The sequence below is a fragment of the Homo sapiens genome, chromosome 5 (genome assembly GCF_000001405.40).
Source record: "Homo sapiens chromosome 5, GRCh38.p14 Primary Assembly".
In the NCBI taxonomy this organism is placed as follows: Eukaryota; Metazoa; Chordata; class Mammalia; order Primates; family Hominidae; genus Homo; species Homo sapiens.
Window position 1 is genome coordinate 100,827,337 of NC_000005.10, and position 25,027 is coordinate 100,852,363.

The 25,027-nt window shown below is 33.4% G+C and overlaps 1 protein-coding gene across 3 annotated transcripts in view, besides 3 other annotated features; it reads right to left on the reverse strand.

Annotated features, from left to right (window-relative positions):
• Nucleotides 1-25,027, reverse strand: part of ST8SIA4 (ST8 alpha-N-acetyl-neuraminide alpha-2,8-sialyltransferase 4) — a 96,350-nt gene that overhangs the window by 20,404 nt on the left and 50,919 nt on the right. The window contains exon 5 of one of the 3 annotated variants that reach the window (XM_005272078.4): nt 21,724-22,121. The exons of the other annotated variants lie outside the window; for them this stretch is intronic. Coding sequence (XP_005272135.1) covers nt 22,070-22,121 — 52 coding nt within the window. The 3' untranslated portion in view covers nt 21,724-22,069. Of the gene's footprint in view, nt 1-21,723; nt 22,122-25,027 lie in introns of those variants that run through there. 3 annotated transcript variants of the gene reach the window in all.
• Nucleotides 238-287: an enhancer, noted in NCBI's record as "active region_22845". NCBI's record gives its function as "activates an Ori minimal core promoter by ATAC-STARR-seq in GM12878 lymphoblastoid cells {active_cell/tissue: GM12878}" and the evidence as "EXISTENCE:reporter gene assay evidence [ECO:0000049][PMID:35858748]".
• Nucleotides 13,081-13,330: an enhancer, noted in NCBI's record as "active region_22846". NCBI's record gives its function as "activates an Ori minimal core promoter by ATAC-STARR-seq in GM12878 lymphoblastoid cells {active_cell/tissue: GM12878}" and the evidence as "EXISTENCE:reporter gene assay evidence [ECO:0000049][PMID:35858748]".
• Nucleotides 14,245-14,464: an enhancer, noted in NCBI's record as "active region_22847". NCBI's record gives its function as "activates an Ori minimal core promoter by ATAC-STARR-seq in GM12878 lymphoblastoid cells {active_cell/tissue: GM12878}" and the evidence as "EXISTENCE:reporter gene assay evidence [ECO:0000049][PMID:35858748]".

Sequence of the window (25,027 nt, forward strand, 5' to 3'; positions counted from 1 at the left end):
TAACTCTGTATGGCTTACAAATGTTCCCTGCCCCTCTCACATGAAAACTAAGAAAATTATGCCTTCAGAAAATGCTCAGCAATCAGAGATGAGAAGAGGTACTGGGGTCACTTGCACACATCTGCATATTTAATATGGACCATCCTGCTGAAAAAACTCACATTCAAATATGACTAGAGCTGCTGTGCATTTGTATTCATTCCACCATGGAAACAGTTTGAATGCTTTTCTCTGGAGACTTATGTATCTCAGTGACAGCTGCATTGCCACAATATGCTGAAGTGCTCATCTTGACAGGTCATATCCTGGATTTTACATTCTGAATGGCAGCTGGGATGCCAGAGTGTTTTCTCACAGTGGGTGGGTCCTGTATTTAATCAGGCACTCCCTGGCTTCAGAGACAAACTGCACGTGTGGTCATAGGCAACTCTAAGAAATCCAGGATGTATCTTTGTCACTCTAGTTCCTCCCTAAATAGCACTGACATTCACAGCAACAATCTACGGCTCTACAAGAACAGGGCAAAGTGCATTTTAAGATCACAGATTTCCTATGTTTTATTGTAGCACTTTGCCCTGATGCCATGTGCAACATCAGTACTGTACACTGTTGATAAACACTGGTTAAGTAATTCAAATTTCAAACTGAAATCTATTTCTATATCCACTTAGCTATGCATATACAGAATGTATATACTGAAGCAAAAATAAAACACTCTAATTTACAGTTCTGGGACATCTCACTAATCAGAGCAAACCTGCGATTGCAACTACAAAAACATGAGTCCACTACCATTCACTGGAAAGTAAATTACCTGTCCTGGGAGAGCCTGGGGTTCTGGGGGAGTTTTCACTTCTCGGGTTCATTACACACTGGGGCCTGCATAAACCAACTACCGTGTAAAACCCTAATGAGCTGATGAGTAATAAATTGATACGTGCTGAAATAAGGAACATTTTTGTCAGCCTTTCAGAGTTCCTCTTTTGTGCCAGGCAAGCAGCTTTCCAAAACATTCACTCATAGCTCCCTGAGAAAGCAACTTTCCGGTACTCCTTAGGGTCAGTGTGCTTTTTGCAGGCTCCAAGCTCCACTTTTCCTTCTCTGAGACCTCAAAAAGCAATACCTCTTTGAAAATCCCTCAAAGTGGCTCATTATGGATCAAAAGCTTTTCTGTTAGACAGAAACATAGGTTGGATTTAAGATTTCTAATCACGTCTTTGCTAAAAGGCTCCTCTCAGGCCAAAAGTTGATTTTGCCCTGGATTTCCTCACTCATGGGACCCCATAGACATCTCTAGGGCTATTTCCCTTGCCTAAACCTGCACTTTGCCTCTAGAAAATTTAGGTAGAAAGGGCTTAGAATTCTAGAAGAGGATCAGAAGACTGTGTGGGATGTGGAAGATCCTTAGTCTTGAACAAGCATTGGTTCAAGTCAAAAGAGGTAAACTACTATTTTTTAATACTATTTTTAAGTAAGCAAGGGAAGAGTTCCGTTTTTTTTCAAAGGCCCATATTCCTGGGAAATTTTCTCAGCAGGTCTGAGACTGAGAAGAATTTTCATTAGCTTAATTATTGCAGCCAGGAAAAGAACAAAGACTTGTCAAATGACTCACTATGAAATAACGACGAATTCTGATGCAGGCAATATTTGAGCTCAAAACACAGCCCAGTGACCTATAAAAACAGTGTGGGAATAGTCATTTGTAGGTGTAGGAATATTCGCAAGTCACATATCTTTACCTATAAACTGCGAATATTCTGCGCATAGGAGCATCAGTGTGTATTCACGCTTGCTCTCACCTCACTGCCATGCTCTGCTCTCTTGGGCTAATTGCCAAGAGAATCCCAGCGAACAGTACCCAGTGAGCCCCTACAAAGCGGTGTGAGCTATGCAGTCTTCCCCAGCACTGTCTCTCTCTCCCCTCCAAATAGTTATCTATCGGTTTGATCACAAAAGATTCTTTGTCTTTTGGTCTCTCATGGATTAGAAATTTAAACTCAAACCTTTTTCAAATACAAGCACCTATATATTATTTGATCTATTTTTTCCCTTCACTCCTCCCAACTATTACCTAAATGCTTTGATAAATCTTTTCATTTACTTGAACTTTTTTCCTTTGCCTGAATTCTATTTTAGAGTAATAAAGATTGAAACAATAGGATATTGACAGTGATATATCTATAATAGGGGAAAGGAAAGTCATAAGTTACAGTAGACATAATAAAGTACTTGTTGTGTATAACCTCTAAAATTCTCGAACACATTCAGATCCTTTAGAATTACTACATGTCGGCCGGGCGCGATGGCTCACACCTGTAATCCCAGCACTTTGGGAGGCCGAAGCGGGTGGATCACGAGGTCAGGAGATCGAGACCATCCTGGCTAACACGGTGAAACCCCGTCTCTACTAAAAATACAAAAATTAGCCGGACGTGGTGGTGGGCGCCTGCAGTCCCAGCTACTCGGGAGGCTGAGGCAGGAGAATGGCGTGAACCCGGGAGGCGGAGCTTGCAGTGAGCCGAGATCGCGCCACTGCACTCCAACCTGGGCGACAGAGCGAGACTCCGTCTCAAAAAAAAAAAAAAAAGAATTACTACAACACTTCTATCTAGCAACATATTCTTCTGTAAGGAAAAATGATCTTTCCAAAGCATAATTAAACAACATAAAGAGATAAGTCTTTATTTATTATTTATGTTTCATTTTTAAGAGTATACTCATGTTATTTTTGCAATCTTTGGTCATAAATGTGCCACACTGAAGATAAAATACTTATGTGGCTCGCTCTAAGACTTTAGCAATCGCTTGCAAAACTGTTGAAGACCTGTTACAAGGGGCAAGTAAGTGAAAGGGAATAGAGTTTACAAGACATTCTGTGCAATAATTATGGGTGTAGACTCTGGAGCCAGACCGATGAGTTTCAAAGCCTAGTGTTACCACTTACTATGTGAGCTGGTATAAGATATTTGATTTCATTGTGCTTTATTTCATCGTCAATAAAATGGGAATATTATTTACCTTATAGAGTTGTTATGGAGACCAAATAAAGTAAAATTTGTAAAGTGCTTTAAGTAATGCCTAGCACATAATTAGTACTGTAGTATTTATCGTTGAATAAAACAGCCAGTAGTTTCCTATCTGGATTTCAAATTTTTAAAGCCTAATCCATTTCTAAGTTAGAAACTGTCATATGCAGCAGATATCCGTATACATCAAATATTTTATTCTTCCGAATTCAAGTTACCTCTATAAACCGTCAACAGACTTATTTTATGTGTTATAATATTTCTGGATGGTAATATATTGTAATAACTTCATGAGTTCAGGCAAGCAGTCAAGGACACACCATCAAGAATGGTATGGCAACTGATTATTGTATAACTTAGACAAAGATATTATTTCAAATGGTTGCATTATATTTGTCTATGTGTGTGCATAAATGTACAAATATGCAAGAAATATATGTGTGTAAGTACAACTAAAATTAATTTTTAAAGGATACAAGCAAATAATTTCTACAGGAGATTCAGTAATCATATCTATTTATGTAACTATACTTGCATATGACTTCAAATATAAATATTATGTTTTATTATGTTTACTTAGAATTGGTAAAGCACAGTATAACCAATGCATTCTTAAAATTAGACCTATAGCTTCTCAAAATAAAACCTATTACACATACATATAGGACTTATAATAAATGTCCAGTGACAACTCTCTTCAATAGTATTAATTGAAATTGAAATAGCTAGCTTGCCAGAGGTAATTAGTTACATTATATAATTATATTTGTCTACCTAAATTAACTTTTTGAATTATTTCTTTTCTCATTATTGCTTCTGTTCTCCATTGACCACTTAATTTTGAAGGAACTACTGTTCTCCAGGTACTTGGCTGGTGAACAGGCCCAGATGAGAAAAGACATAGTCCTTACCCTGGGGTGACTGACAGTCTCTATCCCATAACTAAGGCCCAGGTAGCTGTTTACTGAACCACAAAAGGACTGTATAAAATGCCTTGCAGGTGCCACATCAAGACAATCTCCAAAATGTAACTATAAAAAATACTAAAATTATACCTTGAGACATAAAACATTTATCAATTCTAAAACTTCCCACCTGGATTCTTAACCAGATTTTTTTTAATTCTTTTTGAGGCACAATTCTTTTCATCTTAAAAAAAGACTTATAAAACCTACTTATGATGATTCAATGATAAAATAAATGTTCAATAAATGGAATTATTATTACTACCATTGTTTTTCCTTCATGCAGAGACACAACTCTTCTTCAGCATATTTTCTCATCTCCATTGTGTTTCATGAAATTCATTTTTCTTTCATTCTCCACTATCTCTGCTCCACTGAAATTATTGTCCATCAGGCCCAATGCATAGAGCTAAAATGCTCCTATATGAGTTGGGTCTGATTATCTCTGAGGGTCAGGGGGCTCAAAAAATATATATTTTTTAAAAATTTTCTTTATCTAACTCGAACTAACTTTTCTACAATTGGTTTGTGTTATGGGGAGAGGGGCTGGAAAGGTGACACAGGAATTGAGAAATGATGGGAATCTACATATTGTATGCAAGTCAAAAATACTTGAGTATACTCCCAGAATCTAGAACCATAACTTTATTTAAAATATTGGTTCTAGGAAATATTTAGAAGGAAGGAACTTACCTATGAATTCTAAAGAGAATCTAGTTTAGTTTAAATGCTATTTTAATCTTTCTCTACATAGATACTAAATATCAATAACAAACACTCCATATTTGGATGGATTAAGTGTGTTCTGCTCATTGACATTTAAAGCAGAAGCTTTGATACAAATCAGTTCACACTTTAGGTTTTATTTAATTAATTATTTATATTTATTTTAGTTAAATCCATATGGGTTAGTTTTTCTTTTGGAGGCTCTATTGGGGCACCACAGTGTTTTCAATTATAACTAAGATGTGATACTGTATATCTGGGACATATGCCTAAGGGAAGCCTTCTCAATTTCTAAAAAAAAATGAAGATATTTTCGTATCGCAGATGTTTTGTTATTGAAGATATTTCAGTATCACAGATGTTTCATTTTCAAACATGCTTTGGACCACAGAAACTGCAATGATAAGAAGAGAAATTTGCTATGCCCATAAATGAAATGAAGGAGATTGTTCTTATTTTCAAAGTATGACTCTCTCTTTTTCAGTTAATGTAGGTTACTGCACTAAAATGTATTGCAGCATTCTAAAAACATAATCTTAATACATCCCTAACTAACTTCCACATATATCTCTTTCCTTCTCTTCTTTTTTTCATTAGTCTGCCTTAGATCACCATTAATTTGCACAAAGGGTAACAAATTAACCTCTAAAATGTTCTTATAGGCTCCTGTTACATCATTCGAGGCCATCTAGAAACTTACACCAACCCAACTCTTCAGGACATTCTCTCATTGTTCTTATTCAGTTCTAACTTTTCTACTCTATTGCTTTTGCTCCTCTTTCCCTCTATGTGTCAAGTTTCATCTACCTTACTACTCTACCACCTTCCGTTAAGAAAATCCAATCCACTCTTACAGGCCCTAAATGCCTCCTTTTAATGAAGTATCTCATGATTTACCCTGAGGAAAGTAATTCTTCCCTTTATAGCATGTTGCTGTGTTGATTCATTCATTCTATCTTTAGTCAGGTAATATACATCGTGCTATGCATTCAAAGGTGAGTCAGGCAAACTCTGTACCCTTATATCACACGTAGGTGTCTGCTTGGTTGTATTTGGCATAAGTTTTATAAATTCTTATTGGTTAACATATTATTTTGCAGGAAAAATTGTGAACTCTTTCAGGGAAGAGATTAAACTAACTGATCTTTACATCCCTGGTACCTAGCACAGAGTCTTGCATGTAGAGGAAGACAATAAATCTTTGTTAAAGTGAAGTAAATTCCTAGCCTTCTTGCTGAGTTGAAATTCATGATTGATGACACACAGGGTTTTTGTATTATTTAAACGTTTGTAAGTTGGTTTCTCAAATTATTTTACTCAATTGATTGGGCTGCAAAATGAATACCTAGCATAATAAATTAAATCTTCTGTGCATTTTTATTGTAAAAGGCAGTATGGAATTGAGAGGAAGTAGGAAACTTACAGATGATGGAACCAAGCTACTTGGATCCCAGCCTTGAATTTTACTGGTTATGTTAACTTGGGAAAGTTACTTAACTAATTCATTCCTCAGTTTTCTCAAGAGAAAAATAGGAGTAATAACAAACCTATGTCAAAAGGGTTGTTTACATAGTGTGAAAATCACTTGTAATAATGATTGGCATATAGTGTTACATGGGTGTTAACTAATATTATACAACAAAAAGGCCTCTGGTTTTACACATGTAATTTTCTCTGCCTGAAACGTATTTCCCTGTTCTTGGCATTAACTAGAATGTCAATTTCATCAGCAGGCCTTTTTCTTTTAATCAGTCCCCTAACTCAGTTTTGCTAGAAGGGATTCTCCAAGAGCATCCACTCCTCACTCATCTTGCACTTATCGTACGGTACTATAATTTCCTAATAACAATATAATTATCCAAGTGAGGTAAGAACTGTATCTAATTCAAATGTGCATCCCAGATATAGCAAAATGCCTGGCACCTAGAATATGTTCAATAAATATTTGTTGAATAAGTGAATGAAAGAATTAAAGGATATTGAAGAGATTAGGATATCATCTTAATCAAATGAGTGCTAATATAATAATCAAAAGACATTATTTCTATAAAATTCCATCTAAATATACATGCATTTATATATACACACACATATAATGTATATGGATATGTACTACTGAGGTCCATTTTTAATAGAATTAGACAGGTAGAAGAATAAAAGAATAATAAAACATAGAACGCTCTAGTGACAAAAGGAGCAATTGTTAGTTGTAGGGCATAGAGAGCAGAATGCTTAGAAATTAGAAATTAGCATTTAGTAAAACTTTAAATATTAAGCACAGTTATCTCATAACTATTTAACTGACATTAAAAAGAAATATTTTTATCTATGAAAATGCCTATAATTTGGTATCGAATGGGGACATTAAAATGTAATTGCTAAAAAGGTATTATTATGGTATTTATTTTATGTTGACAGTTTTGAGTTTCTAAAGCTTTAATATTGTTTCTCTTATTGTTTATTACTTTTTCTCTTTCTTAAGTTGTCACTACTGATCAAATTGATTCAGTGATATAATCTGGATCTATGTCCCTGGGAAATACCATGTTGAGATGTCAGCCTCAACATTGGATGTGGGGCCTTGTGAGAGGTGATTGGATCATGTGGGTGGATCCCTTATGGCTTGGTGCTGTCCTTGCGATAGTGAGTGGGTTCTCACAGGATATGATTGTTTAAAAGTGTGTACCATCTCCCAGCTCTTTCTCTTGACCCTGCTCTCACCATGTGAGAGCCTGTCCCACTTTGCCTTTTGTCATGATTGTAAGCTTGCTGACGCCTCCCCAGAAGCCAAGCAGATGCTGGTGCCATGATTCTTATACAGCCTGCAGAACCATGAACCAATTAAATCCCTTTTATTTATAAATTACCCAGCCTCAGTTATCTCTTTATAGCAACATAAAAATGGCCTAACACATCCGGCCTTCTTGGATTATTGTTTTTTTCAAAATGTAAAACATGGGTGAAATGAAAAACAAACAAGGAACTAGGGCTGAGATGTCTTCCAATTTACATTCTTGTTATTATAGATGTAGCATTTTTATATTCCAGAAAATATATTAATTTGTTCTTTTTCTGTTTGTACACAAAATTTTCAATCACAAATGCTAAAGCTACCCGTAAGTTCAGATCTATTAGTAAATGGCACATGATTAGCTATACAGTGACACTTCTCCCTTGAATTATCATATGGAGAGTTAATCAATTTTCCATGGAATTGTGAGATATTTTGACAGCCAGGAATGATTCTCTACTTATTTTGAAAGAGGTTGTCATTTTTTCCATCATAAACAAATTAAGTTATACTCACATGAAAGTAGGTAAATGAGTAGGAAAATGCATGGGAAAAACTACTAAATTTTTAAAAATCTTTTTTTTCAACCAAAGTAAATGTGGCTACTTGAAATTTGAAAATGTGTAATGCTATTAAAGATAAATATTGGAAAGTTAACTTCTTACAGTATTGCTATTACTGGTGGTTAAAATAAGGTTCTCCACTAATTCGTATTCATTCATACCAAATTTTTCATCTGAGATTGTACTTGTCACTCCTGTGAAAAGCTTAAGATGAAGTTTAAAATATAAAAACGTCATTATAGATGCTGTGGTTGCCAATTATTGTTTCGGAAGTAACATAGTGAAGTCCATAGATATTCACCAACAATTAATGTACAGCTATTTCAACTGCCAAGTTTGGAATGGACCTATCCCCACTTTGGGGGATACATTGGACATATTCATTCATTATTAATATTCACCAGAATAGAAAGATAACCATCAGTTGACTTCAATCTAAATTGAGAGAGATATAGAAGTAAAAAGGAAGATAAACTCAGATATTTTTAGTAGATTACTTTCTGAAATCAAGGTAAGGCATAATAAGATGTGATCTCTAGGTCTCCTATTTGTTTTTCTAACCAAAATTCATTTATGTATTTCAAGACACTTTATTAGAACAACTGTGATTAATTTAAATAAACCTGCAGAAAGGGAAGAGTTGTCTGGAAAGAGAGAAATACCTTGAGAGAGAAATGAGCTTTGCTTAATTACCCAAAGGAAAATTTACTGAATCTATTTTTCAGTGATGTATTAATTAGAGATAAGCCTTATTTAGCACTTATAATGTGCCAGGCACTGTTCTAAACGCTTTGCATATAACTCAAATGATTTCTCAGAGCCCTATGAGTAGACACTCTTAATAATCTTATTTTACAGATAAGGGATGATAATAACTAACTGGCACAAAGTCATGGAGCTAGTAAAATGTGGAACTGGGAATTACAAAGTAATCTGGCTCCAGAATCTGTGCCCCTAAAGACCACGTTGAGCTGGATCTCTAGTATTACTATTAATTTGGCCATGGTTGAATGCTGCATTCATTTTTTTTTGCATTGTTCTGAGATTTGTCATTAGGTACGGTAGACTACTAATGGATAAAAATACATAGAAAAGAAACCTAAGATTGAATGTAGAAAGGAAGGTTCACATGCTTTCTCAACTAAATATATGGTACTCCTTACTAAGTATAACCTAGAAATAAATAACTTTCACTTTTCTACAGCAAATGTTAAATCTCACGTTGACTTCTCCAACTTGGCAAATTAAAGATATCATTTCATAACTCCCAGGTGGACAAATAATTTTTTTTAAAGAAAACGAAATTTAAACAATCAACTTGAATTATTCATAATTTTTAAATTCTAAAAGCATTATCTCCAGATTCAATTTTTTACTTAGATTTGGTAGAAAACACTGACTGAAACTTGGAAAAAAATAAAATCCATCAGAGAAAATTGCTACTGTTCCGTACTGACGTTAAAATGTAATACTTTGGAGACTTACTTTCCAATTTCCAGGTTAAAATACTCCCACGTCACTTATCGCTATTGACTTTACACATAGGAACTCTAAAGGAAGTCTAGGGAATTTTCTCATTAGTGCTAAAACACACACACACACACACACACACACACACACACACCGTAATACCTGAGGGAAATAAGATACCATTCTGATCATTAGCTCTACTTTCCACTTGCAAAACCTGAGTCATCAGTAAGTGTCACAAGTGCTTTAGGGAGCCAGTGTTGAACTAGTTTCAAAAGCATTTAGCCAGTCCAAACTCAATAGGAGGATGAAGAATTTAAATACTTTTTCTTTGTCCAAAATATTTAGAGACTCCACTTTAGGGATTATTATATAAAGTATCCATTACACATGTTGATATTTGATTGGTGTAATAAACCAGAAGTGATGAAGTCTGTAAAAGCTATTGACTTTGTGTTTACAGATATCACTGTTGCCAGTGCAATTGCATTGGCCAATCTAAACTATGATGACAGCTAAAATTTAAAGAAAATATTCTAATACATGAGATAGACATTTCTGATTGAGGTGCCAGTGTGATAGAAATGATTTCATTTATTAAGCCTGAATGTTAATAGCTGCAGTTTTCTTCACCCAATTTACACAAGAATCTCCTTGAACCATATGTTTATTCTGATGTGCTAGAGCTGGCCCTTACTGATCCACAGAGCCACAGTGAATTTTTTCTTTTTTTGGAATTTTGTGAGCTGCTTGTCATCTCCTCATTAGTTTGAAATTGGGCATGGTGGGAGTATTTACATTATGAAAATCAGCAAATGCTATAAATCCACTTTGTTTTCCCAGAGAGTTAGTTGTGAAACATTTACTAGCACACACTGCCTGAAAGGAATCTCTACTGGTGAAATGTGGCCTACTTTTTTGCAACTGTTTCAAATTTGGTTTCTTAAACTCATGCCGAAAGATGTATATTTGATACCTAGCTATTGTATATGTTGTCTTAGTAAGTCACTTAATCTGCCCAAGAATGTCTTAATGTCATTATTTTTAAATGAGATATTCATTGGAAACTATGCAGTATTCTCCATTTCTGAGAGTGTCTGAATCAATTACCATATATGTTTATACTTCATTCTACTCTCATAAGGCAGAATAGTAAAACAAATGGTTAGAGAGCTGGATAAAACCAGAAAGTAGGATGAATGAATCAGGCTTGTTATCAGGATGTATGAGACAAAGCGGTACATGGGACTGTGAAGGACAGGATGTCAGTGCCTAGAGTATAGAAGACAGCACGATTTAGGTCTGCCTCACCATAATCATGAAGAAATAGAGATCTAGGACTGCCAGATATTCTGATCTTTAAAAGAATCACCAGATATTGAAATGTCTGTTGAAAAATCTCATGATACTTAGATGTTGACAGTTAATTTCATTTTTAAATATCTGTGTTATTAAGCAGGTCAGTAGGCCAAGTCAAACTGTGAGTCATGAGTCTGCTACCTCTCTTCTACAACCAGAAGAAGGAACAGAAATTACAGTATGGTGTTTCTATAAGATAAATGAAAGAAATCAGAGATTTTAATGAAGACCAATGTTACATTACTTAGACTGCTAACGAATACACATCAAATAACATAACCAAAATACATCTTGGCCAGAAGTAATATGTAAATTATGTATTTTTTTCATTCCAGTCAAAACATTAGTAACTGATTAAATTTGGAGCACTAGAGAAAAAAAAACCTGTTAAATTAAATATCAAATTAAAAGTCACTATATTACAAGTATTTATTTATCTATAAGAATGTAATTAATTTAATCTGAATTTATAATGAAAATGTTTCTGTGAATTCCAGAGACTCACTGTAAGTCATCAACACTGTAGATGCTTAGAAGCTATTCTCTGGCAGTTTCTTTTGCTATAGCTTCATGAATATTTGCTTTGAATAGACTAGCAAATATGTACAATAGAAAATAAAATTGCTACTGGGTAATTTCAGCAAATCATAAAATGGTGGCATTCAGTTTCCAACACTATGACATCCACATTATAAACTTCCTAGCAAAATGATTTAAACCATAGTGACAAAACTTGCACTTAAAAGAGAACATTAATTTTTTTTTCTTTTTTGTAGAGATGAGGGCTTGCTATGTTGAAAAGCCTGATTTCAAACTCCTGGCCTCAAGCAATCCTCCTACCTTGGCCTCCCAAAAAGTTGGAATTACAGGCATGAGCCACCACACCCACCCATTTAAAAATTTTTCTATAACCTTTTGCCAACTTAGAATATGCAAAAAAATTATATTTAATTATGATATGAATTTCACTTGTTTTCTGGGTAAATACATATTGCAAGGTTTCATATCTTGTTTCAAATTTCATTTAAATGAAAATATTTCAAATGTACATAGTTTGAGCCTTATAAATAATATGGCACACCATCAATCAATTTGCCAGAAAAGATCTTGATTTTGCTCTGCAGATGTCAGCTGAAAGCCTGAGCAGATAAATGAACTTAAATTTAATGAAATGCTTCAGAACTCAGCTATAGAATTTATGTTCTCTTTGTTAAATTGAAAAAATAACCATTGAAATCCTATTTTAGAATTATTTAAAAACTTGGGTCCAAAGTTTGAACTATAAATCCCTAGCTACAAAGGCAATTAATTTAGTTGTTTCCTCTTCTTGTCTATGAAAAATAATCTTCTCTTTATCTCTGGCCAGGAAACACAAGACAGAAACAGCTCAAGATCTGTGATAACTTATATAAATAGAAAGCACTCACTTTCTGAATATTATTTTGGCAATACATACAAGGGTCTCTAAATCAATAGGTTTTATTATATTGAAAAATCATACATCAAAAAGAAATGATAAAATGGCACAAATATTGCCATGCTATTATAAAGATACACTGTTCTATAGTGAGATTGGTCTAAAGAGAGCTGCTCCTGGAATCAGCAACTCTAACTGTGCCACTAACTGAGTGTCTATTTTTGAGCAGATGAGACTCTGGGCTGCAACAGTTTCCTTTATAAAATAAGAAATTTAACTGGATTATGTCAAAAAATCATGAAAATATTTTCCATATGTAAGCATTAGCTACATATAATATATACATATATTTAAATAAAAATATATACTTTTAATATTTTCAATTCATACGGAGTCTTTTTTAAACTGTTCCTGATCCCAAACTTTTATATCATGTCATATCTTATTTGGTCTTATCAGTGAGACACAGCAACATTGTCTAATACCTGAAATGAGAATTTTCAAATGTGTTTAGATTTCTCCAAGTTCTTATAAATTTCCTTTCACCCTTTTATTTTAACATTTTAGAGTATTTTCTACTTATTTTAACAAGATTGTAGTGCTATTTTAAAGAAATCCAAAGCAGAGAATACATACAGTTGTTTGATGAAATATTTATGTGTGTGTATGTGTGTCTATTTATATATATGTGTGTGTATATACATACATATGCACATGGCAATTTTAGAGTTTTTTTTTAGGGTACAAGTTGGGGAATTTTCAAGGATACCATGAAACTAGTTTTCAATGTGTTGCTCTAATGGACTAAAGAACAAGCTATGAAAATGTTCCCTAATATCATCATCAGCTTGGTTAGAAAATCCCCAATCATACCTAAATATGAAAAGGGTCAGAACATTGAGCGAGTTGCAAAATTCCCCCAAGCGGTTCATTTCATCATGACTCACAGTGCTTGAATAAGGCAAAGTCATTTCTTAACACACAAGTTACTGTAGAGGAAGATGAATGCCTATATTATCTCCTGACTAGCCCATAACATTTTTGGAGCTTTCTGTCTTCCTTAGGGTCTCTTTTCCAGTCAGCCTACATTCTTTCTTATAACATTCTTGTCTCTAGGTTACTTAAGAATATAAGAAAAAAAAAAAGTCCCCAAAGTTTTCTTATTACATATATTCCAAACAATAAAAACAAATGAAGATAGTTTGTTTTTTCAAAAAAGATTGTTTCTGTGTGTTTTATTCTCTAGTAAGTACCCCTTTCCCTGGCCCCCACCTAATCCATTTGCAATCACAGTATGCCTCCTCATTATCACACTCAGTGTCACAGTAAGACATTCAAAAACTTATTTCCTGTGCACACCAAGTTAAATGAGAAAGCCAAAATAAGGGAAATGCAAAACCTACTGTACATCATGATAAAGAAAGAAGAGAGGTTCATAAATCTATTTGGAACGTATTTTTGTTGTCATGTTGGTAATTTCTACACAGGTTACTGATTTCCATAGTTGCATAGCTGTTTACTCTTATTGCCTTCCATGCCCTTCTAGAATAAAGTTGAGTATGTAAAATTATGGTTGGGAACCTGATGCTTTTTGTAAACTGGGACTTTTGTAAATTGGGATCAACACAAATTTTTATTCAAGCCATAGGTATTGGAGTCATTATGCTTATTTCTTTAAAAAGAGGTCAATTATGCAGTATATTGCTGAGGCAGGAGGATAGGGTCTGGAGGCAGGGAACATAAGGCCAATTCACGCTGACTTCTTAGAACTAAATCAAATGGAAACACTTCAGCTATGACAAGAAATATCCTCTCCATTTACATAGGGCATACACCAAGTAACCAATGGAAACCTCTAGAGGGTATTTAAACACTAGAAAATTCTGTAGCGCAGTTATTGAGCTCCTATGCTTGGGCCCCCTCCCATCCTGTGGAGTGCACTTTCATTTTCAATAATTCACTGCTTTTGTTGCTTCATTCCTTCCTTGCTTTGTTTGTGTGTTTTGTCCAATTATTTGTTCAAGACACCAAAAACCTAGACACCCTCCACTGGTAACATAGTTCTGACACAATTTGTGGATAGGCATTACTGTAAATTCTTAGCCTATACTTTTAGCTGATCTTTAATACTGTTTGGAATCTCTTCTGTGAATCTCTAATCAGTGACAAATTACATGTCCCATCCACCAGAGGTATTACATGCATTTGCCAAATCCCTTGATCTAGCATTCCAAAACTACCTTGTCACTTCCCTATGTAATCTTGTTGGCTACCAAGCTGGTTTTGTTGCTTGAGGAAGCCCCTGCTTTGTTTTCTTCTTTGGAGCTTCAGACCTAGCGCAGTATAGCAATCTATACATGTTTATAGAAGGAATGAACGTGATACAGCAGGAACACTTCTATTCATATTTCAAAATGTGGAATTATGTGATTTCAAATATTTTACTACTTCAATAGAATTTTTTAATGAAAAATATCTGTATTTCACTTTTATTCAGTCTGATAGGAATTTGCAATTTGTACATTACTAAAATATTTGTATTTATATATTCTGTGTTATTTCTCATAAAATAATTAGCTTATTAATTTTGAAACTGACAGCAATTCTGGTGTATGCATCTGTTCCAGAGAAAACAGAAAGAGGAAATAATTGTGAGCTGAGCAAAGAACAAAATTTTAGCAACATTGATTCTTCCTGGTAGCGACGTTTATTAATGGAGACTTGCTGATGGATTATTTGATTATAGCACAGATGGATTCCACAAAGTATCAAGTTCCTTTTTTTAAAACAAAAACAAAAACAAAAGTTGACTATTAAGAAGCAAAAACAAAGCTGAAAATTTTGATAAACTGCCCACATCCCACCTCAACACTATCCCCAGTTTTTATTATTCTCAGATAGGGGCTATTAACATTTATAATGACTGTACAATTCTTTCAAGCAGTATTGAGAAACATATATTTTGGTATAAGGTTAGCTTGCCATATTGTAGATTTTATATGTGCCTATAAAATGGTTTTTGCAAAAAGCTCACTGAATTCTGTTGAGAGGAATATGATCATAATTTGAATAAAATGCAGAATCAGAACTTTAGCTGCAAGTAATGATTTTACTTTAATTAAGATTCACCAGTGAAAAGAAAAAAAAGTTAGTTTCTATTAGATCAAATTATCAAATATATTAATAGTGTAAAGTAGAATCTGTGCCATGCTAGATTATGTTATGATACATTCAGTCACATGATTCTTTTAGCTATTTAATTTCATCCAAGTTTGTAACTGATGCAAATATTGTTGAGTATCCAAAACAAGGAAGCTTTAAAGTTGAACTCAGTTGCTTGATGCTATAGCTTAATGAACACTGGTAAAGTTTGCTGAAATTTGTATAAAGGCCAAGGAAGCTCCTATTATAAAGGCCAATAATTTATTAAGGGAAATCCATATAAGCTATTTACCTAAGAATTCCTAATTACTTTATTATATCATCACTTTATCATTTTGTTTATTTTTTAAAGAAAGACAGTTTTCCACTGATTTTACTATCTCTAGAGTGACATCAAAAGGCAATATTTTCTTTAGGAGTGTACTTTAAATGACTAATTAGAGAATGGGAAAAGCAATATAGACCATACTTTCATTATGAAAACAATTTGATGTTGACAATAAAAGTTTATATTGTCTGAAACAAAATCAGTTTATTCTTAGTTAGAAATAAGGTAGCAACTGCCAGCACAATCTCCCTCTGCAACATATTCCATTCAGCTATCAACATGGTCACTGGAAGATGGTTTGGAGGATAAAAGTGGAAGCAGGTAAGAACTGAGTGTTTGTAACTGAGTTCTTAAGATGCTAGCATTCGACTTGTATTCTCACCAGGAAAACTTAACCAGAGGATATAGCTAAACAATATCATTGCTGAAGAAATGAAGTCTGGTGTTGAAAACTCATGTAAAAATAAAAAAAGCAGCAGGCATTTACACAATACAGAGCAATGATTTGTCACTTACAATTTTTTGTTACTGAGCTTAACTATGATGCCTAACCATGATCCATCTGAATGAAGATGCAATGTATGCGTTATCATGAGGAATGGAAGTCAGCCATACTGTTGCTCCAACATATTTTCCACTTCTTGCTCTGCAAATTCCCAAAACATGTTCATAGGGCCCTTATAAATCCCTTCTTTTAATCTCAACAACTTATTTGCCCCTAAGAATGAATTAGCTATCAGTTATTTACACCTTACTTGGTATTTACGCATTTTATTATCTCTCTCCAATATTTGAAGTTTAGGTGGTGCTCATTGAGACGTAAAGCCTTTCCAGTTATATTGAAGCAAGGTCTTAAGAGGGACAGAAATTCTTCACGGAATGTACAAAAATGGTACCATCTGGATGGCTCCCTAATTTGCCAACAAATAGGCACAATGTTATACTAGAGGGCCAGAGTTCCTAAGATATGATGGCAAGTATCCTTCCTTAAGAACTGAGCAAATACTTTATAATTTTGCTTTCACTTATGCTCCACAGGTGACAGCCCCAGCATAAGATCATCTGGATGAAACAGTTGTGTAAGAATTTGCATCGTATATAATGTGATTTGATTGATCTCAAAAGAAACTATTGAACAATATTTCCCACATATATCAACCACCATGTATTATGTTTAAATATGATCTTCAGAAAACCATACTCAATCATAAATGTACTATCTTGAAGGGAGAGTACAAGCACCTACTAACACATAAACAAGAAATCTCATCCAGCAGAATAGTGGGGAACATAGAATAACCCTGGCTATTTGGGACACACATTGATGAGGGGAGGCTGCCAGAGGTATCAGAATCAGGGCACTGCATTTTGATTTTACTTCCTGCACTGGATACTGGTCTTCACCAGGGCTCTATTTTGTGATTCTTCTCTTGTAGGTCTGAATATTCTTTTTGATTTATTTTATCCATGGAATGTGAAAAAGTAAATGGCTTATTTCTAAGAAGTCAGTCATAGGTGTTAGGCTCAAACTGGAAACTGTAAGAAACAAAACTTCCAGCTTGCCTCTGGTGAATGTGGCTCCAATACTTGCCTTTATGTAATCAAATAACTGAAAAAGATTGTTAAAGCCACTTTAAAAATAAGTTTATAGCTAAAGGCTTTAAACTTATTCTGCTACAATGTATTTACTCATCCAGGTTTTTAAATGATTTGGGGGGTAAGGTTTTAGAGCAAAGAGAAAAAGAAACAGAAATGACTCTTTCTTTGATCTCTTACCAATAGGAATCTGATATGGCACACTAGTCTCTGAAAAAGTTGGCAGAATGTATCAGTATCTTGTTTCCTACATGGCAATTCTAGTGGTCAAGCCCCAAGTCTTTTGCCTTATTCTCTAACTTACTTCTTGTATGTTGAGCTGGCTTGACAAATGGCGATAGCCATAATTTGGAAGTTGTGGCCTGAGGCTGTGATTATATGATCAACCACATGAGACACTAGAGTTAGTTAACTGACCATGATCAATCACATAGAAACAAAAGACCTAATCTAAACTATTACACTCAAGCTAAAGTACACTTGTATCATTTGAAGAAGATAAGGACCTGTAATGTTTTCAAAGATTTATGGGAATATTGATTAAATAACTTTTCTCCACAAACTCAGGAAGTAGCTAGTCATGTTCACTGTCTAAAAATTTATATTTGCATTTAACTTTAAACTCCCAACTATTTAATATTTAATAATTAGTTAAAATATATTAATTATTTTACTATATATAAGAAATCTCTGAATGCGTAATCGACCAGTCATCTTGACTTAAATTAGAATAACTTAATGCAAATTAACTCAGTATATATTTTGCATATTGATCAATGTTCTTTTCTCCTGAAAAGTCAAATAAACAAGGGAATTTCCGAGGTTACCTGTGCACCTTCTATCACTCATTAAAAGATTGAGCCTTGAAAGTAAAAGGTAATAGAACAAATTATTGAGCTTTCCCTGTAGTTCGTTAATATAGCAGTATAGCGCTTTGTTCTGATTATGAAATTTTAGTCTTAGAATTTATAAAATAATGACAATTAATTTATTTCCCCAGCTAAAATATTTTTAGTAACGATTTTTCCTCTATTGAACACCATGATAAATTAATATTAAAAAATAATGGATTGATTTCTTTATGCAGATTTTGAAAGATAACACCCAAGAGAAAACTGTTACTAAATTATAGATCTAGGGTACTTTTCTCAGGTGGCCAGGATGAATTTATAGATGGTCAAACTGGATGCTCCCATGCGTCATGCCTCATTATTATGATTCATCTACTTTTCTTATCAGAACTTGCTCTTTTATTTTTACCCTAGCAACACCACAGGCAGGTAAAATTTAGTAAGCATTAATTTCATAATTTAGTAGATTCAGGGCACAAGTTGATACATAGTTTGATTAATAATAAATTGCAGGAAAACAAACTATCCAGATTACATCCTCACTATTTAGAATTCAAGCCTTCCTTCTTGAAAGTTTCCCTCTTCTTCACAATACTGCCTAGTGAAAATAATTTCTAGTGCTACCCAGATCGATGAAAAAAACCTCTTCCTCAATTCTGCTTGGTTCCCTGCTTGTTTGAATTGCTCTAGAGAACTAACTGAACCAAATTGCAATGTCTAACTTCAGCACAACTTTGCCCATTTTTATTCCCCACCCCTTTGCACATGTGCCTCAACCTCCACCGTAACATATACTGGGAATTTATGCTTCTTATTAGTTATAGAGATGAATAAGTCAATCTTTGCTATGAAAAAATTTAAAATAAACCTACAGAGTTGAAAATAAACAATAGTCATACATTATGAAGAATGTTCCAAAAGGGAAATACATCCCTTGAGAAGAGAATACAGAGAGCAGAAACCCAGGTCAATCTCACCAAAAGGAAAAAGAGTGAGAAATGATGCCCAATTGAAACTTAACCTTTAAATTGAGACTTGAAGGAATAAAAAATGATCTATGTGAAGAAGAGAGAAAAATCCATACCAAGAAGGAAAGCCCAAATTTGCCAATGTTACAGGGGTGCTATGAAAGCTTAACTACTCTTCCAAAGAAATTCTAGATATTTCGCAAAGCCTTTTAGTCTCAGTGAGAGATAACCAGAACTGGGAAGCATATTGGTCAGGGGCAGAATGAAAGCTGTTTTCCATAGGTTCCAGTTTGAGCCACACACTTGGGAATATCTTCTCAGACATAAACTATTTATACTTCCACATTACACAATGCAATATGAATAACGGGATCTGCTAGGAAATAACATTGTGACTGAAGGGTAACCAGATTAAAATATCAGGAAACACTGAAGTTCCGGAAGTGTGCATATCAGAGTCTGCCAGTAAGGAAAGAAATATCCTTTCATGGAAATCTCCTTTGGTTTAAAATACCTAATACGCGGCATCTAGCTACTCAAAAACATTAAACTAGGACACATGTTTTATAAAGAAATATTACAGCTGTGTTGCTCATAGGTCAAAATAGAAACCATATGGAAATATTTTTAGCATAAGACTAATTTTAAAACAAGTAAGCCATTTTCAGAAAGCACTTGGAGTGAATATTCTCTTTTCAAAGTTGTTTTTTTAAAATTGCTTTTCCTTATGTGACTTGAGTTGATTGAATACTCCAAAACAATCCATTAGAGTGACTAATAAACTTGATTTCCTGAGGTCTATTGATGATGTATTTTAGCCTATAGTTTTGCTAAAGACTATTGGGAGCCTGGTCTGATTCAAATCCTTCTGCAAACCCATGACATTCACATGAAGTTATCCTGCAGAAGGTCATCTTCATTTTATATAGACTTTAACCTTTACTTTCATTTAAAATGAATTTTTACATCTGAAAGATGAGTGCAGCAACTAACATTTGAGAAATGATATTTTTGTTAGTCTTAATGCTGAAAAAAAGTTGATGGATGATGTGTGAAAATATAATCTGTTTATTTGTTAGAAACCATAAAAAATATTCTACCAAAGCAACTAATGTGTGCTTTCATTCTTTTAATAACCATTAAATATTTTTCAACAGAGTGAATACTACCCAGATGAGAAGTTAGCTAGATATGTCACTTGATATCCGTAAGACGTAATTTTTCCCTCTTACATTTAGCTAGGAATTATGGAATTGATCATTGTGGTGTAAAGTACGGGCACAGGTAGTTTAGAAAGGTATGCCAAAATAAAATATCAATGTTCTAGCAAAACTCTGGGAATCCTGGGCGGGTACATTAAGTGATATCCTCTTGTTCACTGTAATTTTATTTAATAAAAATAATGAAGCAAAAAAGATACTGCATATAAAGTATGTAAATCAATTAGACTATTATCTTATATTCTGAATGAGGAAATTTTTCAAAAGTTATTTAGTCACTTAAAGTAATAATGTAAAACAATATCTACTTGAAAACAAAAGATGAAATTACTACAAATAAATTCAAGATGGCATGTCAAACACCAACAACAGAAATATAAAAGGGGGGATATTTACTATACATTAAGCATGGAAAAACTGATTTCTGAAAATCCTAAGTGACCACAGTTGAATAAGATTCAGTAATGTACCATTATTACAAGAAAATCAATATATATTGGCACTATGTTTGACATACAAAACGTCTAACAAAGTAACTTGTATAGAATAATAAACATATATACTATGAGTATACTATTACATATTATATAATTATATAAAATACATATTTGTATATTTTATACTTTGTTAGTATGTGTAAATTATTTACAGTATATCTATATATGTGCAGTGTGTGTATATATACAAAGAATATACACATATATACACACAGAGTATATATACTCTGTATAGTATATATAGAGACAGAGAAACAGCAAGAGAATACATAGAATTGTATATAATATATTAATATATATGTTTTGTGTGTGTTTACAAAGAAAGTATATCGCGAGTATAGACTATATAAAGTCTGTACAGTGTGTGTGTATATATAACAGTAAATATGTATGTATACTAATTTTATTTTTCATATATATAACAAATAAATACTACTTCAGATATAGGTTTTCCACAATTGACATTTATCAAAAAAGTTACGCATTTTTAAAAAAATTAATAATTGCAGAAATCAAAGAAAGGGCAAATTCAGCAACAAACATGTCTGTCTATTCTTTTTATATAATATTTACCTAGGTATATATACATGCTTATATATATGAATGTGTAACTATGTGTGTCTATGTGTGTATATATATTTCTTATATATTTCAAATATATATATTTCTTATATATATTTCTTCTGCTGTCAAGTAAACATTTAGATGATGTTGGGTTAACTTAACTGTGGTGTTGAAACATGTAAAGAATAAATATCAAGAGAAAATGACTTTAAAGAAGAAATACTTTAGAAAGCTATCTTTATTATCATAATTACCAAAAATTTAATGAACCTGTTTAGGAAGTTACAGAGAATACATTCCTGAGGATGTTTAATTAAGGACAAGAGTTTTTTTGTGACAGTTTGAATATTCCCATGTGTAAGGACAAAGTTCAGAACCAGTGATTCTTAGAGCCCAAAGGAATCTATACGATTATATACATTGGTACGTATATTTTAATGGTTATAAATCTGACACTCAAGGATTTAAACAGTCTTGTCTAAAGTCAGAATAGGAAAGGTTTGTTTTCGTCTTCCTTGGAAATCAAATTTCTGCGTAATTCTTCAAAATTCTCTACGTCAGTGTTCTTAGTTAGAATTGTTCAAATCCTCTTTAAAATCAAGAAAATTTTCGCAGAACCTGCAAAATACATATGTGAGCTTGAATTTAAGAAACACTGCTGGCTGAGCGCGGTGGCTCACGCCTGTAATCCCCGCACTTTGGGAGGCTAAGGCGGATGGATCACCTGAGGTTGCAGTTCGAGAGCAGCCTGGCCAACATGGTGAAACCCCATCCCTTCCAAAAATAGAGAAAAAAAAAAAAATTAGCCGGGCGTGGCGCCTCATTCCTGTAGTCGCAGCTACTGGGGAGGCTGAGGCAGAAGAATCAATCGCTCGAACTCAGAAGGCGGAGGTTGCAGTGAGCCGATATTGCACCACCGCACTCCAGCCTGTGCGTCAGAGCGAGACTCTGTCTCAAAAAAGAAACCCAAAAAACAAAAATAAACAAAAAACAAACAAAAAAACACTGTTGTAGGGCATGAGATGTTTACCAAGTATTTCTAATAAAAACAAAAATTCTTAATTCCAGGCAAATCTAAGGCAGTTTATGTAGCCCATTTATCTTACACATATTCGTCCTTTGCAATCACTACAAAAGACTATATTTTTTTAAGTATACAGGTATCTTATGTATTCTCCACTGAAAGATAAATAACAAAAACAAAAACTATTAGGCTGGTGCAAAAGGAATCATAGTTTTTGCCATTACTTTCAATGGCAAAACCCACAACTACTTTTGCACCATATTACTACACATGGAATCAAAATTTTAAAAATCTATATGAAATATCTTTAAAAATTTTTTGAGAAAGATGTAAGTTTAAAAATGGTAAATAACTTTAGAATTATTTACTATGATGGTGACATCACAGAATATTATATACATTTATCAATGTCATCTGTGAGTACTCATTCCAAGTGTTTATCTTGATTAATACAAAGTAGAAGCTTATTAATTTAATGAGAGCATAACCTCCATTATATTAAAACAAATTACTACTTATAATGTAGTGACAAAATGGTACATATATATTACTTTTGTTATAGTAGAATTTAAAAAAGTAAAAATTAAAAAAAAAACTAAGGGGCCATAAAAATTTATACGATAATTGAGTTAAATATCTCATTTTGGGTTTAAATCTTTTAATAATAGTTCATAATAATTAGCAGGGGCCAAAGAATTAAAACGTAAATATTTTAACATTTTTTCCCAGACTCAAATATCAACAGATCAAAAGCTTAATGTTTAAAATTAAAATATCTGAATACAGATAATATTTTCAGAAGGGAACATATTATACAGTATTCAGTAGGTTTAAACCCATCCATACCTCTGTGTTTATTAAAATTCCCTTTTCTGTGGGAAAAAAACACATTCTAAATGAATCCATATTGTGTAGATGTGTATATATATATATATAACATGTGTGTGTATATATATGTATAAACAGACAAAAAGGATAGATGAATAAGAGTAAATATTAACTGTTGTTACTTCAGGATATTGTATTTGAAAAGGTAATATAAGACTAGTTTATATATAATTATTTGTTCAGAATTATTATTGTAACCATACTTTTTTTTTTTTTTTTTTTTTTTGAGATGGAATCTCATGCTGTTGCCCAGGGTGGAGTGCAGTGGCATGATCTCAACTCATTGCAACCTCTGCCCCCTGGGCTTAAGCGATTCTTCTGCCTCAGCTTCCCTAGTAGCTGGGATTACAGGCATGCGCCACCATGCCTGGCTAATTTTTGTATTTTTTATTAGAGACGGGGTTTCCCCATGTTGGCCAGGCTGGTCTCAAACTCCTGATCTCAAGTGATCCACCCGCCTCGGCCTCCCAAAGTGATGGGATTACAGGCATAAGCCACCATGCCCGGCCTATTGTAAGCTTTACATTAATTTTATATTTTAAAATATACTATTAGTTTATAAAATCAGCTAACCAGAATTGTATATTTACTTTCCTTTCCCTACCTCTCATTTTTCCTATAATTTAAAATATTTTTAATAACAAAATAAAATTATATACAACAAGAACAAATGAGAAGTACTACAAATGTCCATCAAACAAGATTGGTTAAATACATTATAGAAAAGTATATAATGGAATATACTTTCCTATTAAAAAAAACAAGCTGTATTTATGTGTTGTTGAGAAAATGTCATGTTAATTTAAAAAATAAAGTGCAAAAGAGTACATATGATTCGAGTTGTAGAGCTACTACAATAAAAACATATTTAGGTTTGTGCATATAAAACATAATTTTAAAATATGCTTCTCTATCTATCTGTCTATCTATAGGTTTTTTGGAAGGATTCTTAAGAAATTCTCGTCATAGTTTGATATTGAAACTGAGGATACACTTTCTGTAATGTTTGTTTTTTTCCCATATTAAAAGTAAGAAAATTAAGTATAATCATCCCACCAAAGTAAAAACAACACTTGGTTATTACTAGTCAAATTAAAGTAACTGTAAAATAAGAATTTTTACCTAACTCTAAGTATTTTATAAAAATGTATTTGAGCTATGTCTTAGATAATAATTTAAAATATTATATAAAACTGTCATTAATTTAAACAGGTTATTAAGATATTAAGTTGTATATTAATAATTTTCTTAGAACTGTATAAATAAGAAGCTTTTATTTTACATTTTGTAGCCAAATTTTTAAATGACTTTGAAGTCCCCAAATCCCCTCTTCATGCTTACTATCTTATTTGCTCCACTCTTCTTTTTTTTTTTTTTTTTTTTTTTTGAGACGGAGTATCACTGTGTCATCCAGGCTGGAGTGCAGTAGCATGAGCTCGGCTCACTGCAACCTCTCCCTCCCTGGGTTCAAGTGATTCTCCTGCCTCAGCCTGCCAAGTAGCGGGGACTACAGGTGTGTGCCACCACATCTGGCTCTTTTTCGTATTTTTAGTAGAGGCGGGGTTTCGCCATGTTGGCCAGGCTCGTCTCAAACTCCTGACCTCAGGTAATC